This window comes from Homo sapiens, chromosome 6, assembly GCF_000001405.40.
Source record: "Homo sapiens chromosome 6, GRCh38.p14 Primary Assembly".
In the NCBI taxonomy this organism is placed as follows: domain Eukaryota; kingdom Metazoa; phylum Chordata; class Mammalia; order Primates; family Hominidae; genus Homo; species Homo sapiens.
The window spans coordinates 29495815-29515023 of NC_000006.12; the positions used below are offsets into that span (position 1 = coordinate 29495815).

At 46.3% G+C, this 19209-nt stretch overlaps 1 long non-coding RNA gene across 2 annotated transcripts; it reads left to right on the top strand.

Moving 5' to 3' along the window:
• Positions 1-1660: 1660 nt before the first annotated feature.
• LINC02829 (long intergenic non-protein coding RNA 2829) lies at positions 1661-14750 on the top strand. Of its 2 annotated transcripts, NR_183360.1 has the most exons (5): positions 1661-1725; positions 2335-2402; positions 9507-9563; positions 11355-11854; positions 14454-14750. It is a non-coding gene; the product is annotated as a long intergenic non-protein coding RNA 2829 (long non-coding RNA). The 2 variants fall into 2 exon arrangements; NR_183359.1 differs by lacking the exon at positions 2335-2402.
• The last annotated feature ends 4459 nt before the right edge of the window (positions 14751-19209 follow it).

Sequence of the window (19209 nt, forward strand, 5' to 3'; positions counted from 1 at the left end):
AGAAGGAAGAAAAGAAAGAAATGAAATGGTCAGGTATCCCTTGAAGATTCTGATGGTCACACAGAGGGAAAGAGCCTTGTGTGTGGGACCTTGAGTGTCAGGCCACCTCTTCTCCAAGATGGGCAGGGTTTGGTCCATCTTCCCAAATGGAGCTAAAGATCCATGCTGGAAATTTCCCTGCTCTAGAACAGACAGCTTGGAGTGATGAGTCATGATGAAGACCTTTCTATTGATTCTTCATTGCTGGGGTTTCCAACCTACAGGGATGAGGACTGATGCATCTGTGAATGAGCATGCCATTCCCTGGCAGACACCTGAGTTCATTGCTTGCTAAGAACTTGGTTCTACATCACTTCTTCTGAAATAGAAGGGCCTGCTGGCTTGTCAGCAAATAAGCAAAGTTTGGCTTGCTGTTTGGAGAAGCCTAATTTTATCAGTGTCAGCTCAACATTTAAATTTGAAAAAGGAAATTCAGCATAAGCAAGGTTCACATTCAGGTGTATGCTTAAATTCTAGGTATTCATCTCATTCATGAACTCAATCAGTAGCCAGAGTTTCCAGGATGCCTAGGGATTGCCCCCAAGGATCAGTGCTGGTTTGCAGCTACAATACCAGAGTTTGACTCTGATGCCACACTCTGAGGGCAGTCCTCACCTATTGTGATAAAACCCTTCAGGTCCTGTGGCGTAGCCATGGCCCATCCTGGACATGTTTAACTTCACCCACCAGGCACCCATCTCACTAAGAAGACTTTGATGTTCATGAGAAATGAATTTCTGCTGCCTACAGGAAGGAGATAGGACTTCTCTGAACCGTTGAGGCTCCTGCTACCTCCAGAGCAGGCAACAAAGATTAGACCCTGCCAGGAGGGAAGCACACCAGATAAGGATGGAGAATTATCTTGACAAGGGGCATGAAAAAAATTACTGGATGACAAAAAAAATACATCACCAAAGATCAATAAAACATTTGTAGAACACCCCACGGAGATGTGATCTGCCCACTGTACAGATCAGAAGAGCTTCCTTTCTTCTTCTGCGTCAGAAAATATCTGCTTGCTGGTCAATGTCCAGAGGATGATGTGAAGATGGGAAAGGACATTTTCCCTGGACACCATTTCTGAAGTTACATCTCTGTGTGTGCTTTCATTGGTGATGCCATTTCTCTTTGCTTTCTCTTCTTTTCTTGGGAAGACTTCTCTGTCTACATTTGTATATTTATTTGGCTGACTTTCCCTGAATTTGCTGCCTGACTGAGTAATTTATTTCAAAATAACTACATGGCAAGCTGTTTTATGCTGTTTAACTAAATCCATTGATTGAAGCATTTTCTGACACCTGGCCGTCCACATGGAGATTTCTCTTTTCCAGTCTTCCTAGTCTGGAAAAGACGTCACCATCCACAGGAAGTGTTTGTCATTGTACCCAATCTGGTCTCAGTAGCACCATTTACATACCAATAGTGTAAATCTCTGTGTTTCTTATAGACACATGATATGGTTTGGATTTGTGTCCCCGCCCAAATCTCATATCGAATTGGAGAAGCCTGGTGGGAGGTAACTGGATCATGGAGGCAGATTTCCTCCTTGCTGTTCTCATGACAGTGAGTGAGTTCTCATGAGATCTGATGGTTGAAAATTGTGTGACCTTCCCCCTTCACTCTCTCTCTTTCTCCTGCCACCATGTGAAGAAGGTGCTTGCTTCCCCTTGGTGTTCTGCCATAAATGTAAGTTTCCTGAGGCCTCCCAGTTATTCTTCCTGTTAAACCTGTGGAACTATAAGTCAGTTAAACCTCTTTTCTTCATAAATTAGCCAGTTTCAGGTAGTTCTTTATAGCAGTGTGGTAATGGACATAATGGACTAACACTATCTTGTTCTCTGGTATCTTTATTAAAGCATTTTCAGTGTCTGCTCATGCTCTCTTCTTTAACAATAATGTGCTTTCTGTGTTTATTCCTGTGACATGCAGCAGCCAGCACTGCCAGCCCCCATGGCTCTGCATGTCCCCACTGAGGTCCTGTTCCAGTGTCTGCAAGTCCCTCCTGATATTAACATATAACCACTGGCAATTATCTCAACATTTCTATTTTCTAAATAATTTTCATTTTAAAATCCTCCAGTACCAAAAGTTGTTTAAGACAAAAACAAATAGTTAATTTCCAGTTAGCAAAGCTTTCTCTTTGTATTAAGTATGCTTTAATCACATATTCAAAAACATGTGGTTTCTATTTTAATAACTTCTAAAAAATAATTTGGATTTTGTTTTGGGTGGATTATATTGTATGAAATCCCTTGTCTTTTCATATTTTGACCATTGTATTTTAATGTTTTGTAGCATGTCTTAGAATGAATGCAGGCATTCCTTTGGAGCATATATCCAACGAAAAGGAGTGAAATTACTGGGTCAGCAACTTCTTTTTTTTTTTAATATTTGATTAAATGAAATGTTTTACATCTCTCTGTTCCTCTTGCTCTTCTGTACATTATCATTCTTGTGGCTTTTTAAATTCAACTTTTAATTTTTAGATAATTGTAGATTCACATGTAGATGCAAGAAATAATGCAAACAGATCCCATACCCAGTTTTCCAGTGGTAACATCATGCAAAATTATATTATAATATTTTTAATGTGGGTGTTTATCACTGTAAACTTCTCTCTTAGAACTATTTTGCTGCATCCCATAAGTTTAGGGATGTTGTATTTCCATTTGTGTTTGTCTCAAGATAGTTTTTAAATTTGCCTTTTGGTTTCTTCTTTGACATACTGATTGTTCAACATGATATTATTTAATTTTCAAAAATTTGTAAATTTTCCAATTTTCTTCCTGTTACTAACTTTTAATTTATTACCATGGTGGTCAGAAAACAGACTTGATATGATTTTAATCTTCTTAAATTTGTTAAGATTTGTTTTGTGGCTTAATATATGATCTATCTTAGAGAATGTTCTGTGTATGCTTGAGAAGAATGGTCATTCTGCTGCTGTTGAATGTAATGTCCCATAAATGTCTCTTAGGACCTCTTGGTCTATCGTGTTGTTCAAATCCAAAGTTTCCTTTTTGATTTTGTGTCTGGACAATCTATCCGTTGTTGAAAGTGGGGTATAAAAGTTTCCTGCTAATGTTGTGTTGCTGTCTGTTTCTCCCTTCATTGTGTTCATATTTTCGTTACATATTTAGGTGCTCTGAACTTGGGTGCACATACACTTAAAATTGTTATATTTTCTTGATAAATTGACTCCTTCGATCATTACAAAATTATCTTCTTTGAATCTTGTGGCAGTTTTTAACTGAAAGTCTATTTTATCTGATGTGTGTATAGCCACCCCTCTTCTCTACTAGCTACCATCTGCATGGAACATCTTCTTCCATCCCTTCACTTTTAGCCTATGTGTGTCCTTAAAGATATATTGAATCCCTCAGATGCAACACATAGTTGGATCTTGGTTTTCTTTTTCTATTCATTCAGCCACTCTATGTCTTTTGATGGAGAATTGAATTCATTTATATTTAAAGTGATTATTGACAGATGAGGACCTATTACTGCCATTTGTTCAGGGGTTTCTGACTATTTTGTAGATATTTTGTTCTTTCTTCCTCTTGCTGTATTCCTTTGTAATTTAATGATTTTTTTGTGTGGTAATATGCTTTGATTTTACTCTTTTTGTCTTGTGTGTACCTACTACAGGTTTTTGTTTGTTGTTGCCATAAGACTTACATAAAATATCTTACAGTTTTTAGTCTATGTGAAGCTGCTAATAACTTAACTTCAACTGCATACAAAAACCCTACACTTTAACTTCTTCTCTCTACACATTTTTATGTTATTCATGTCACAATTTACATCTTTTCATACTCTGTATCCACCAACAAATTATTATGGCTATAATTGTTTTATTTTATCTTTTAATTTTATACTAGAATTAAAAGTGACTTATGCCATCAGAGTATGAGAGAAGTCTGAATTGTACTATATTCTTATTTTTACAGTGAGTTTTATACTTTTGAAATGAGAAAAGTTCCCTTGTTCCCCTCGCGGGGCACGTGATGGGGGTGTGGCTTGCTTCTTCAGTGCCCCACTGCTCAAACCTCTAGGGGAGCATACAGATGGGCAGATTGTGGGGCTCCGACCCCACGGTGGCATCTAGGGGTGGATGTTTACAGCTCCTGAAGCCCTAGGAGGAGAAACTTCTCATCTGCTAAATGGGGCTCCCTTGCAGCTCTGAGGTTCTGAGATCTTAATGTGTGCACTGTGTCTTCAGTGCACACAATACCACCCAACACAAATTCAATGCAATTGATTCCCCAGCAGTTGAACTCAATCACAATGCCACTGGCCTTGTTCTAAAAATTAAAGAACTGCTGCAGGAAGGGCCCTATAAATTTTGTCATCATAACTGCCTGAGCCAGAGATGTGGGGTGTTCCCTGCCAATCAGGGCAGAACAGGTTGACATGGGCCAATGAAGCCCAGAGGTCCTGGAGGAGATGAAAGTCACACAGGCCCCCTCAGAGATATCTGCCAACGTCAGTGTTGGGGTCTCTTCTGAAGGACGCTGTCTGTGAGATTGGGAAAGGTACCCAGCAGCCTTGTTTCTGTGGCCCAATACTTTTTCCACCAGACTCCTTCACGTGCCTAATTTGGGACATGGTTTCTGAGCTGCAGGTGTTGCCCACTCCAGCCCAGAGATCCCAGAACATCCTGCAAGCTCAGACGCAGGATAAAGGGCCACAGGAGCAGGAGCCTCCTCTCTCTGGGCAACTTCAGACTGTTTCCCCACTGTGCTGTCCTAGAAGGGGCTGATGCAGTGAACAGAGCCCTTGGGGCAGGTGGGGCCTGGGCTCAGCTGCAGAGACCAGGGGACGGGCTGGACCACATTCTCTTTCTGCCATATGCAGCTGCCTTACACTACAAGAGGGGGAAGAAGGGAGCTGAGGAGGTAAAAAGAGAAAAGACCCAGAGCCAGCGGGCTTTGTCACATCGGCTGTGACAGTTAAACCTGGCATTACTCGTAATTGCTTACATTTACTACACATTCATACAGAGGCCATGCTGTGGCTAGGCGTCTCTGGGCTAAGAATGTCTTATTCATTTAGAACTAGTACCTCGGACTCTGATTACGGGCCTTGCTGCGTGTAAGGAACAGCACTGCTTTAGCATGAAGCCTAGCCTATTGTCAGTGCTCAGAGAGCTCTGACACCAACAATTGGTTTTCCTACAAAGAATCACGTAATATTTGGGTTATAGAAGCAGGGCAGTGCTAACTGGATGTCCTGAAAGGAATGGACCTGGCATAAGAAGGGATGGAGAGCAGAATTTGAAAAGCATCCAATCCTGAAATTGGGCTGGAGGGAGCATGTCCCAAGCCTGTTAGGGACTGCAGGAAATTCATGACCAGTATGAAGGTGAAGCTGGGCACCTGCAGGCAGGCTGGTCTGCTCTCTCTGCTGTGACCCTCCTCAGGGCAGGCTGTGCTGTCAACAGGTGTTGTGCAATGCCAAGAACCCATGAGAATTCTCACTACGCCAGGGTTTTGAGGCACCCCTGTTCCCAGGTTCCTTCCTAGAACCCTGGTCGCCTTGGGATGACTGGGGGATTCTAGTTGACTACCCAAGGAAATCTGAAGCTTGGGAAGTTTGCAATGTTAAGTCTCGGTCCAGAGTCGGACCTGGCTCCGCGCCTGTCTGGCAGCAGCAGCAGCAATCCCTATCCGGGTCCAGAGCCCTGCCCAGTGGATACTGTGTGGTGTTTCCACAAAGTTGCATCTTTGAGCACCTCACAGAGAATCTGGAGCCTCTCAACCAGGACAACGTGAGAAAAAAATCTGAAGAAAAAGGCCCAGGTGCTTGGGGTAAGAACAGCCAAGCAAAGGGCAGAGGCTGAGTGGGTGCCAGGAGGACACTTTGTCACTTTGGAGACAGAGCCTTTGGCTTAAGGAGTTCCAGGCTGCTCTGGAGGCGTCGGGGGAGGCCTCTGGGACCACCTAGTCATTTTCCGCAAGAAAGTAAGAGATTTCCCAGTTTTGTGCTCATGGGGAGCATTCACCTGAGATATAAAACTTTGGCTGCTTAACTCATTTTAAGGGAATAATAACATATTTGCATACACTTTATTTGGAGGCAAAAGAAAAAAAATAGTCTGTTGAATAAATTATTCTAGATTTTACTTCCCAGGGATTTTTTTTTCTTTCTAAAAATTATAGACAATTCATCTCCTATTCTCCCTTCTTGAGAAATTAACCATTTGAAAACAGATATGTGCCCTTAGTCTGCCTTCCAATATCTCTCATACGATCCATGATTTTTAAAGAAATACAACTCCATTGCATGACCAAAGGGAGGAGGGGGAAATGGAAAGAAGGAGCTGGGCAACACAAGCACCAGGGGGAAGGGCCTGGGGCCCAGGGCCAGCACCTCCCTACTTGTGGGAGCCTCAGCTGTTCCTTCAATCCCCAGGCCACACCTAACCTTGGGTTGAAAAGTGCTTTCTGGGCTGACTCCGCTGTTAGAACAGGTAGGAGGTTGCTTGGTAAATGTTGCAAGAATGTGAACTCTTGTGGTAGAAATATTCTGAGGCTGATTCAGAGGCTGCCTGGGACCCCGTCACAGCTCTGGGGTCTGTCTCCCACAAGGAGCCATGCCCCGAACAGAGGTACCTGTGTCCACTCATCCTGCAGAGAGTGGGAGCCAGTTCCTGCCCCACCTGCTGTCTCCTAAGTGCTTCTTTGTGCCCAGGAGGGAGAGGGAGCAAAGGGCATGGGAACCTCCTGGGCTGTGACCAGTCATCACCTGGGATCCCACTGCCACAGCTCAGAGCTAAAGACAGAAACACCCAGCATTTCACTGCACGCTGATCTCAGCCAGCACTGGGAAGGGCTGGGAGCATGTCCTGCGTGCTTGGTTTCCCATGCCCCTGAGACGCTTTTCCTGCTTCCGCACTATCTCCTTGGGTTGCACAGAGAGTTCCAGCACTCCGCTTCCCTGGGGAAACTGACAATGACTGGCCCTTGATTGACTCACCCAGTGAGTTGGTTTCCTGGGGCCATGGTAACAAACTACCACAAACCAGATGGCTTTAAAAAAAAAAAACAAAAAAAAAACAAAACAAAACAGAAACTCATGCTCTCCCAATTCTGGAGGCCAGAGGCCATAGTCTGAAATCCAGGTCTGGGCAGGGCCAGGCTTTCTCTCCCAGCTCTGGTGTATCCTGGCAGTCCTTGGCTCTCCTTGGTTGCAGCTGCATCCCTCCCACCTCTGCCTCCGTTTTTGTGTGACATTCTCTCTGCCAGCATCTGCCTGTTTCTCTTGTCTTGTACCTACACCAGTCATACTGGATTAAAGGCCCTCCCTGCTCCACTCTGATCTCATCTTAACTGACATCCCAATGACATCTACACATACCCTATTTCCAAAGAAGATCACATTCCCAGGTATCAGGGGTTAGGACTTGAACATATCTTTCTGAGGTCACACCAGGTGACCCTTCTTCCCTAACAGACCATCCAGATCCTCTGTGGCTTTGCAGTTATGAGCATGGGGATCCTTTTGGCATGTACTTCCTTTCCCTGTCACTTTGGCCCAGTGGTTCTCACCTTGGTGAGGTCTGGATACCCATTCGTAGGAGCCAAGTATGTGAGTAGGATGGGTGTTCATGGAGGGTGGTCTCTGGGATGGAGCAGGGCACAGACAACTGATATGCTACCTAGCAATGTCTCTGTGGAGAGCAAAGATGCAGGAATGGAACTTGTTTTGAGGGCAATCAGCCAGGAGTGAGAGAAGGCCTGGCAGGAGAAGGGGTTTTGCCAATGGGAACAGAATTGATCATCTGGCTCAAATATCAGTTCTTCCAAAATCCTCATAGTGCCATCCTCGAGGGCCCTGGGAGCCCTGCAGCTTCTCTCTGGGGTGACAATAGCATGTGTAGCCTCAACAGGGACACTATAAGAATAAAAGAGTGTGCTATTACTATTTATGCCATGATCACAGGAATACCCAGGACTGTCCCTGACACACTGGACATAGGGTCACCCTACTTCTCCCTAAGTTCAGGTGACACAAGGAGTAGGAGTGAGGTGGGCAGACAGCAAGTGAGAAATGGGGTGGACAGGGCACACAGTGGGGTGGCCAGGCTGGTGCATTTGTGGCCCTGTCTATGGGGCCAGCAGGACCAGTGGGGTCAGTAGAGCATATACTGAGCTTGAAGAGGTGGCATGGAGCACTTAGAAGCTCTATCTGCTGCTTGTCATCTCTTGGCATGTGGAAGGCCTTCTGCAGAGTTACGCTCCAGACATAGCCTCGGAGTCCTGAATATCCCCCAGGCTCCTGGAATCAAGGAGTGTCTTAGACGGCTTGAGCTGCTTTAACAAAAATACCATAAGCTGGGTGGCTTATAAACAGCAAGCATCTATTACTCACAGTTCTGGAGGCTGGAAGTCCAAGATCGTGACACCGACAGATTTGGTGTCTGGTGAAGGCTGTTGCTTGTTCATAGATAGAGCGTTCTCGCTGTGTCCTCATGTGGTGGAAGGGCAGAGGAATCTCTCTGGGTTCCTTTTATAAAGGAAGTAATCCCATTGATGAGGGCTTCACCCTTACGACCTACTCACCTCCCAAAGACCCCACCTCCAGATACCATCGCATTGGAGGTTAGGTATTTAGCACATGAAATCTGGGGGCAACAGACATTCAGGCCACAGCAAGAAGCTTCAGGAGAAAGCTTTCAGTCTTGTGAAATGTGAATGAGGCTTTCCCACAGCCTAGACCTGTCTTCACGCCCCAGCCGCAGCCTCTTGCATTCACGGTGGCTTTTGAGCATCCTCTGACCACTGAGTCACAAACCTCCCTGTTCCCTCTCTATCTGGCTATTTTCTTGGTAGGACCAGAAAAACTTTTTTTTATAGTCTTGCCACCATGCCATGTAGTTTTCGTACATTGCAGCTATTTCAAATTACTGCATTACCACAGAACACTTTTTCTGTAATAACCCAGAATCAACAGTTTTTTTCTAGCTGTTAACCTGGCCTCAAAATCTTCCCTTTATTTGGGCCCCCTTTTTCTTCTGTCCTTAACTCTGACTCTGGTAGAGCCCATGGAACTGACAGTTCAAAGCCCGCGTGGCTTTTCTCTCCCCACCACAACATCTTCATCTAAATAGAGTCTTGTAACATTTACCTGCCCTCTCTCCCTTGAAAATCACTGTTCCCTGGTCCCTGTTGGGGAGCCTGGGCCTTAAGCCCCTTTGTCTTTGCCCTAGAAGAACTTCCTCTCCAGCTGAGTCAGGTTCTCATGAGATTCTAGGGGTGGCTTGGCCTCCTATATCCACTTCCCCCAACATTGGCCTGTAGCCACATATGGCCTGGACTTTGGCCCAGCTTCCAGCATGCCCAATAATGTCAGCCCTGTGGGGAAGTTCCTGGAGGTGTACAAGGACGTGACAATTCAGTGGTAGGGACATCGGGGTGCTTGTTCATGTGGAAACTGACTTTACCATTTTCCTCTTTTCTGAGTAGTTTATCATTTCTGGATTGCTGTCTGTCATTTTGGGAAGAAAATCAAACAAGCATCTGGTGAGTATAGGAACAACAGTGCCTCACTTACTAAAAAGAGACTTTAGCGGAACCTCATCCAGTTGGATCTTTCCAAGGTTCAGACAAAGGAACTGAACCCCAGGTTGCTGACAAGTGTCCTTTGGTCAGTGGCCCTGTGGAAGTACACAGGGCCCACTGATCTGGGGGACACCTTTCATGATCCTCATTTTGAAGAGAGTCCTGTACCCTCTCCAGGCTCTGGGTGGCTTTATGGGAAAATTCTGCCTCATCATGACACCCTTTGGTGTTCACTGACCACCGGGGTTCAGGTCCTTGGTGAGCACAGGGGAAAGAGGACAGTGAGAGCATGGGCTGTTAGTTGTGCCCCACAGCCTGGGTGAGAAAAGCATCAATCAAAAGAGATGAGCCTTGCTGGTGGGGGCCAGGAAGGGTGCAGAGTGAAAAGGGGGTGTTCAGTGATGGGTGCACATCTGATTGACAAACTTTTGCAGAATCATTTCCAGGCCTTTCTTAGGAGGCTAAGAGGCATGGGTTGGGGGACAGAGATGGGTATGGTGGAGATTCTGGTGACCTGGGATTTGGGGGTCTCCCTGTCCTGACACAGAAGCTGCCAAGAAACTGGCAGCCAAGCCTCAAGGTGGCAGTGCCAGGTTTGGACACTGTCATTCTCTCAGACCTCCCTCAAAGGATCAGATGCCCTTCTTCATCCCCACCCTCAGCCTCCCCTGAGCCCTCCAGGAAAGCAGCCTGTGTGGATCCCCTAAACAAGGGCAGGAGCACCAGCCCTACAGAGCAAGCAGCAGCTGGGTGAGGCAGACGGCGGCACAAGGTGGGGACCACGGTGTTCCAGGGCCACTTAGGCTCCTAGGAAATTCACCCGCCACCATCCTCAGGGACCTCTTCTTTGAAAAAAAGGGACTTTCTCAGAACATTCTGACAACACGAGTTGTGAATCCCTGGGGCTGTATGGAGAAATGGCCCACGACCTTTTTCCATCTCTTCCCCCATCACTGCCCAGCTCTGAGATTGAGCCCCTGGGAAGAGGGCCCGGATCTTTGCCAGAGGCTGCTGGGCATACCTGAGCACACGTGCCATGGGCTGTTTGTGACGGGCTGGAACACCTAGCCCAGGTGTCCCAGAAGCCACCACAGACATCAGCCTATTCCTCCCCTGGTGTTGGTCTTTGAAAAGTGAGTCTGGACACCGCAAAACTGGAATCCAGGTTTCCTACTTTCGAGGGGAGGTAGCCCCCCATGGCGCAGCTGTGATTCTCAGCCCTCCTCTGGGCCGTGCCCCAGCCGGGATCTGAACATCCACCCTCGGCCCCAGGTGCTGTTGCCCCCACACTGAGCCCTCGTACCCCATGCTCCCTGGCCCTCCTGCCAGGGCACCCTTTTCACAAAGTGGAGTGGATGAAAAGAACAGGAAAGAGCACCAACCCTGCTGCTGTCCCCATATGACAGAGGCTGCTGTGGGGGCATCTGTTGTACTTGGGTGAGCAGGCCCCTTGGCCTCGAGCTCTACCGTGCAGGGGTGCTGCAGACAGAGCCAGGTGATAGGAAAGAGCATGTCTGGGAACCCACCTGATGACAGCCTCAGCTCAGGATGAGGCAGGAGGCCTCTGGCTAGGCTTAGGGGAGATGGCTGGAGGAACCTCCTCAGGGTGCCAGTGGACTGGGTAAAGCCATCAGGGGGCTTGGAGGTCAGGGAAGCTGTGATTTATCAAGCACTGTGGGCATTGCAATATTTTCTCTGTTCGGTTCAGTCCAATGGGACATCAGTTCTATACATATCTTCCTCTTCCTCTAGCCCTGCTCAGTCCTGGGTGGAGAAGCTACCAGAACCACATCTCCTGTCTGTCCCACCATAAGTCTCTGCTTCATTCACGCTTTCATGTGTCGTGCATCAAGCAAGCATTTGCCTGTAGGCTTGGGGAGCTCTGAGAGGGGTTGAGAGTGAACAAAATTAATCAAATCGTATAACAGAAGAGGAAGTCCCATCCTGCCGAGGATCCTGGATGTGAGAACCTGCTGCTGGCCTGGTGGGATCGTGGTGCCCCAGGAGCATGAACTGCTCAGGAGCAGACCCTGACCAGATCCCCTGCAGGCCTGGAACAGCCTGATCAGCAGCCTCCTAAGCCCCATGGCTGCCACAGTGGGCCTCATTGTCCTTCCCTATCACCTAGCCGGGGTGTTCCCAGCTGCCAGACAGTGCCAACTGGTGGTGCCTGCCCATCAGTGCCCCAAGACAGCCACTACTTTTCGAAGAATGAGACCACCAGCTGCTTTGTGGCCAGCTCCAGCTTACTGGTGAGTATTTTTAGGTAGAATGTTCCAGACTAGTGAAGTCTTTGAGATTTTCTGCTTCTTGTTCACTGCTTCCTTCTGATGTGGACCATGCGGAAAGAGGCAGAACACAGGAACCCACACATGGGAGAATAGCAGGCATTTGACTGGACTGTGCCAAAAGAGTTGTTCAAGTACAATATCAAGCAAGACTGTAGTTGCAAAAAGACATAACCAACAACTTGGTTTCAATTTGAGCACCTTAATAAACAAACTGATTTAACTGTCATAGTCTCAAGGGATGGGTTTTTCCAAGCAAGAACTCTAGGGTCAGGGTAGCGAATTGCTCAAGAAAGGCCAAGAGCTCAGGGAGACATAGGAACCTCATAAACAGGGTGGCCACAGGCTGGCAGTGCCCAGGTTCAGCCAGGCAAGAGCCACAGGTCAAGGGAGGCTGCAAGAGGCTAAATCCTAATTCCACCACATGCACAAAAATGGATGGGATGGCCAAAAATGACCCCAAAAAATCAGGAAACAAATACGGAATGGGCTTTTTAATTGTTGTTTGCAATCAGAACTTTATGAAAATGACAGAATGTGGTTTCGCATTCTCTGTTGCATTAGAGCCAGTCTGAGCATCAGTATTTGCTCTAAAATGTGTTTAGTCAATAAAGTCAAGAGAACATGTGTGTGGAACACTGAGAAAAGAAGGCAGAGGAAATTTGCATTCCTGCAGCCATAGAGGGGGATATTCTAGGGGTGGAGAGGCAGCAGGCAGGGGGAATGTGTGCACAGCCTGGCCGTTGTCCCATCCCCTCATCGCTGGCTTCAGGCCATCCTCCCATAGATGGAGCAGCTATAATGGGAGTGGAGGGTTGAGGGGCAGGGGAGGCATCTGCTGAGTGGCTGGATGGGGTTTGTGTAGTGGGTTAGGATGAGCTCCTCAGAAACCAGCCTGAGCTCTCTGGCTCAGGAGCTTCTCAGGAAGAGCTGAGAAGCGGCAACCCCTGCCTGAGGGGTCCTTGTGTTCATTTCCCATGGCCACAATAACAGAGGACCACAAACTGGTGACTGAAAACAACAGAAGTGAATTCCTTCACAGTTCTGAAAGCAAAGTCCAAGATCGAGGAGTCGGCAGGGCCGCTCTTTCTCTGAAGGCTCTAGGAAAAAACTCTTTCTTGTCTCTTCCAGCTTTGGGGAACTCCAGGCATTCTTTGGCTTCTGGACACGTCTTTCTAACCTCTGTCTCCATCCTCATGAGGCCTTCCCCTCTGTTTGTCTCTGTGTCCTGTTCTCTTCTTATAAGAACACCAGTTATTGCATTTAGGGTCCACCCTAAATCCAGGATGATTTCACCTTGAGATCCTTAACTAATTGCACCTACACAGACCATATTTCCAGATAAGGTCATATTCTCAGGTTCTATGTAGACATGAATTTGAGGGGGGACACTAACCCACTATAGTCACAGTCTGTACAAATAAATTCTAGATTCTGCCCACCTGTGGCCTTACCTGTTCTACTTGGAAGTCATTGTTCCATGGAAGGTGACCCAGGGAAGCAGAATTGTTCTCCTCCTCAGGCAGATAGCTCCTGGGGACTGGCGTGAGAATTAGCAACTGTGCCAGCACATCACTTTGATTGGTCAAGGTGCCCCTTGCTGCCTCCCAGCCAAGCCAAGCAGGCCCACCCCAGGGAGCATAGGTGGGTAGCAGGTGCTGGCGCTCAGTTTACAAAGGAAGGCCTTCTGCCTCACCACCTCTGTGGACCTGCAAACCGCCCTAAGGGGTGAGTGGGAAGTCCCCATCTTACAGAAGACGAAATTGAAACCCAGACAGGCGGAGACTCTCCATGGAGGCCAGATGAATGAAGAGTCAGGAGGCTCAGCTCAACCTTGGGTGTCACCTGCCACCTGTACTGCTGTCCCTGGAGTGGCCCAGGATACTAGGATATGACACTGTCTCCCAGATCATGAGCAGGTTGAGTCAGGTACGAGGGAAGAGGAGCCAGCAGATGACACTGTCTAAACCCATCTGGTCATCTCAGGAAGGCAGAAGGGTTGGCCAGTCCAGCACAGACCTCGTGCATCCTGCATTTCAGAGGATCCTGTCTGTGATGCTCCTCTTCACGGCATTGGAGCTCAGTGTCGCTATCCTTTCTTCTGTCCTCTTGTGAAAAAAGACCTGTTCAGATGTCCTCAGGGTGAACCTGCTGTGCCGTGGGCTCTGGGGCCTGGGTGGTGGCACAGGGCATGGTCCTGGGGCCAATGGCAGGTGGTACTAAGGTCGACCCATGAATCTTGACCTTAGTCGAAGTCGACAGGTTTTGTTGAGTGAGGCAGCAGCCGGCAGAACAGGATGACAGCAAGTGCCCAGGGTGGAGGAATCACAATAGGAAGCGATGGGACCAAAGAGAGCACATCACACATCTGCTCATTTAGCAAAGCAGGAAACAGGCTAAGGTGCAGAAGCCCTCTGGTCCCTGGAACCCTCAAGTTTTTATATTTGTGTATCCCTTGTCTTTTGTTTCAAGATATTTTTTAATTTCTCTGGTTTGATTTTTTGGAGATAAAAGGCCTTCCACTCAGCGTACAAGGCCTGTTCACTTGCTTTGTCCTCTCCAGAATGTGTTTCCTGACCCAAAGTGACACAGTGATCACCAGCATGCCCCAGGCAGCATTTGCTGACACCGTCCTGGAGATGAACAAGGAGTGCACCCTTAGTGTGGGGGCAGAGAGAGAGAGAGCACATTGTCTGCAGGAGTCAGCTGAATGATCTCACAGACCCCACCTGCTGGGCTCTTCCATTTTATCACAATTATTCCGCCTGTTCACGTGCAGAGAGAACACTTGGGGCAGATTTTAAGACCTTAGAGAGTAACTTGTTTACAAATAAAATATCTCTTTGATGATGTATTTGGATTCCATGTCATTTTGCCACATTTCTCTTAATTTACTGGACACCAACAATGATATAAAAGTTAAGATTTTAGGAAATGTAGAAAATTTCTAAATAAAAATCAAAAAAGAAAATAAAACAACAAAATGAAGAGCTGCCTGGGAGAGATGAACCCATGGTCCCCGTCTTCACGCTAAGATGCAAAAGAGCAGAGCTTCCAGCTTCCAACTGGAGCTCCCACACAAAATACTGGGGAAATCTTCCTCCTTCCAACAATGGTCTTCCTATTGATCCTGAGACCTTGCTGGCAACCAGCCGTGTCTCTGCCCCTCTTTCTGTGCTCTCGTGACTCATCCCAGCTTCTCTCTCTGTGCCCCTTTCTTGTTCCCCTCTGCCCATTTCTCTTTTTATCTGAATCCCCAGATGCCCCTGCACAATCTGAGTGTGCAGAGTGGCCCAGCCCTCCCTAGGAAGGGAAAGCACTGGCCCCTTGCTTGGAGAGAAGGCAGAGACTGCTCTCCCACAAGACTGTAGTGCCCTAAAACCCCCTGATCAGCTCACACCTTGTTTCCTGGTGGCCAGGCCAATGATGAGGTTCACCACAGCCTACCTCAGCCAGGGACCTTATGACTTAATAGGGGAAGAGCCACAGAATATAGCCACATATATGGGCAGAAGTCCTGAGATATCCATGGGGCTGGATACTAAAGGGTCTCCATTTCCAAGTAGAACCTAAGGTTAGATGAGAGAGGTTTATTATCAATGCAGGAGGATCCTCACAGGATACAGGATTTAACAGCCTAACAGGGATTCCAGAAGATAGTTCAAATCAGATTCAAGGTAAGCTCCTGTAAGTATGGAAAAAGTGACAACTCCCCACGAAAGACAGAGGTGAGAAGGCTCAGAGAAGTGGATATGCTGGGGTGGATACACTCTGTAAATCCAGAAAAATCTACCTGCTGCCTATTTTTCAATTGTTCAATTTGCCTGTTAAATCATCTGGGCCTGGTCATGCTAAATTTTTTTAACTACCAATTTTGATTTACTTAATGATTGTAAATCTGGTTTATCCATTTCTTCTGTTTTTTAATTCACTCTGCATTGATATTTATACTACAACTCTCCAAACACTATTTCACAAATCAAGCTTCTATAGCAAAAGTAGGAAAACGTTTTAAGAAATTTTATTTTACCTTGTCAATGACCAAAAACACTCAAGACTGGCATCCTCACCCAATTTCTCTAGACTTTGTTTCTGGGATCATCAGCTATCACATGTTGTATTAGTCCGTTCTCACGCTGCTATAAGACAGCCTAAGACTGGGTAATTTATAAAGGAAAGAGGTTTAATTGACTCCCAGGTCTGCAGGGCTGGAGTGGCCCCAGAAAACTTACAATGCCAGCAGAAGGGGAAGCAAACACCTTCTTCTTTACATGGTGTCAGCAAGGAGAAGGGCAGAGTGAAAGGGGACAGGGGGAAGCCCCTTTTAAAAAACCATCAGATCTGATAACAATTCACTATCACAAGAACAGCATGGAGGCAACCTCCCCCATGGTTCAATTACTTCCCACCAGGTCCCTCCCACAACATGTGGGGATTATGGGAACAACAATTCAGGATGAGATTTGGGTGGGACACAGCCAAACCATATCACATGTCTTCAATTTCTGCCTCCTAAAAATGACATCTTTGCCAGGTGTGGTGGCGCACACCTGTAATCTCAGCAGTTTAGAAGGCTGAGGCAGGTGAATCACTTGAGGTCAGGAGTTTGAGACCAGCCTGACCAACATGGTGAAACCCCATCTCTACTAAAAACACAAAAAACTTAGCCTGGTATGGTGGTGTGCACCTGTAGTCCCAGCTACTCAGGAGGCTGAGGCAGGAGAATTGCTTGAACCCAGGAGGTAGAGGTTGCAGTGAGCTGATATCACATCACTGCACTCCAGCCTGGGTGACACAGCGAGACTCCATCTCAAAAAACAAAACAAAACAAAAAAATGACATGCTCAACCTTGGTCTTTCCTCAACTGTCAACTCTGAGTGCTAAGAACCTAAAAGATATCTCTGCTTTACTGCACAGCAAGGTCTTTGTTGTGAGTTGGGTTGTGTCCTCTCAAAATTTGTATATTGAAGTTCTAACCCCCAGTATCTCAGAATGTGACTTTCTTTGGAAATAGTGTCTTTATAGAATTAAAATGAGATCATTAGGGTGGGCCCTAAGAGGATATTAGGGCACAGACACTCACAGAGGGACAACTGTGTGAAGACACAGGGAGAAGACAGTTATCTACAAACCAACAAGAGAGGCCTCAGAAGAAATCAACACTGCGGACACCTTAATGTCAGAATTTTGGCCTCCAGGACTATGAGAAAATAAATTTTTCTTGTTGAAGCTTCCCAGTCTGTGATACTTCGCTATTGCAGCTCTAGCAGACTAATACACCCTTCAAATTCACCAGGGCCAAATTGAACCCACCATTCTCCTCTAAAAATTTCTTTTGCTTTCACCATTTTGTTTAAGGTCCTCACTCTTCCCATCACTCAAACTCTGAAAGTTCTTTTCCCATAGTGAAAAGGCCTAATGAAGGTGTTTCCCCATGGATTCTTTCCTTTTAGTTCTGTCTTGTGGACTGCAGCTGACTCAGCCCTGAGGGTGCCCTTGATGTCCCCGCTTAATTAGCATCTCTACCATTTCACCATTGCTTGCATGAGACAGTCGAAGGGTCATGAAAGCTTCTGTGATCTGGAAGACGTATTCTATAACAGTAGCGTTTCACAGCAGAAGCCAGACTTGCAACATTGCAAAGATCATGGGATTTGGAAGCAGAAAACCTGAGTTTCTATTTGGACTCTGCCACTTACCAAGTGTAGAACTTTTGGAAAAACCTTGGAAAGTCTTCCTATCTCCATTATGGATCAAGAGTGTGACCTTGGTTCACCCTCTCACCATTCTTTCCTTAATTTTTTTTTCTTATAAATAATAGCTTCCACCTTCCACCCTGCAGAGCAATTGTAAACTTCATAACACATGCGAAGCGCTTGACTCAAAAAACAGGAAGCACTAAGGACTGTTAATTTAACTGGCATCTCATTACTTTTATAAGAAAGCCTAGCATAAAGAAAAGGTGTGTCCACTGTTATGGGTTGAATTGTGCCCTCCCAAGAAAGATACATTGAAGCTCTACTCCCCAAACCTCAGAATGTGCCCTTATTTGGAAATAGCAGCATTGCAGATGTCATTAGTTAAGACAAAGTTATACTAGAGTAGAGCAGGCCCTAATCCAATACGGCAGGTGTCTTTACGAAAAGATAGCATGTGAAGACACAAACATACAAAGAGAAGGCAACCATGTGGTGACAAGAGGAGAGACTGGAGTGATGCTCCTGCAAGCCAAGATTGCTGGCAAACCACCAGAAGTTAGGAAGAGGCAAGGTAGGATTCCCTTACAGGTTTCAGAGGGAGGGTAGCCAGCTGACACTTTAGACTGCTAACCTCCAGAGTTATGAGACAATAAGTTCCTGTTGTTTGAAGCCGCCCAGTTTGTGGTACATTGTTACAGCAGCCCTAGGAAACTGATACATCTACACAATGCAATGTCCTTCAGCCATAAAAAGGAATGAAACACTGGCATTGGCTATCATGTGGATGAAATGTGAAAACAGCATGTTCAGTGAAAGAAGCCAGGCACAGAAGACCACATATTATATAATTCCATGTATGTAAAGTGTCCAGAATAGGTGAATCCATACAGACTAAACACAGATTAATGGTTGCCAGGGGCTGCAGGAGGGGAGAATAGGAACTGACAGCTAATGAGTATAAGCTTTCTCTTAAGGGTGATATAAGTGATCTGGAATTAGATAGCAATGATAGTTCCAAATCTTGTGAATATATTTAAAATTAAATTGTGTAACTTAAAATGGTGAATTTTATGTGGAATAATAGCAATAAAATTCAATAGAATAAAACAAAATGAACGACATGAAGCCCAACACCTCACTGGAACATGCAAAACCCTTCCTTTATTCTCTGGTGGATCCCATTTCTCGCCATTGTTCAGTGCTCTCTATGCCCCACCATGCTGTCCTACTCTCTTCATCCTCTGCCTTCTCCCATGCTGTCTGCCTACCTATAGTCCCTCTTTCCCCACGCCCTGTTTTGTTCCTGTGCTGCCCCTTTCTCACCCTGTACTCTTTCACTTTGAAGTCACTGCCCCAGAACCTTCTCTTTCACTCCACGATTGGGTTGTGTTGACCCACTTGCACATCATATGTTTCTGAGGGCAGAAATGTTGGCCCATAATTACAGTTGTCTGGTTATGTCTCTGTCTCCCTCACTAACATGCAAGCCCTACAGAAGCAGGAGCTGTGTCCAGCATGTTCACCAGGGTATCTTCCAAGTGTATCACATGATACTAGGTGCTCCGTAGACACCTGCTCAATGTCATATAGGTTCTTGGTCTTCTCTTCCAAATAAGGTA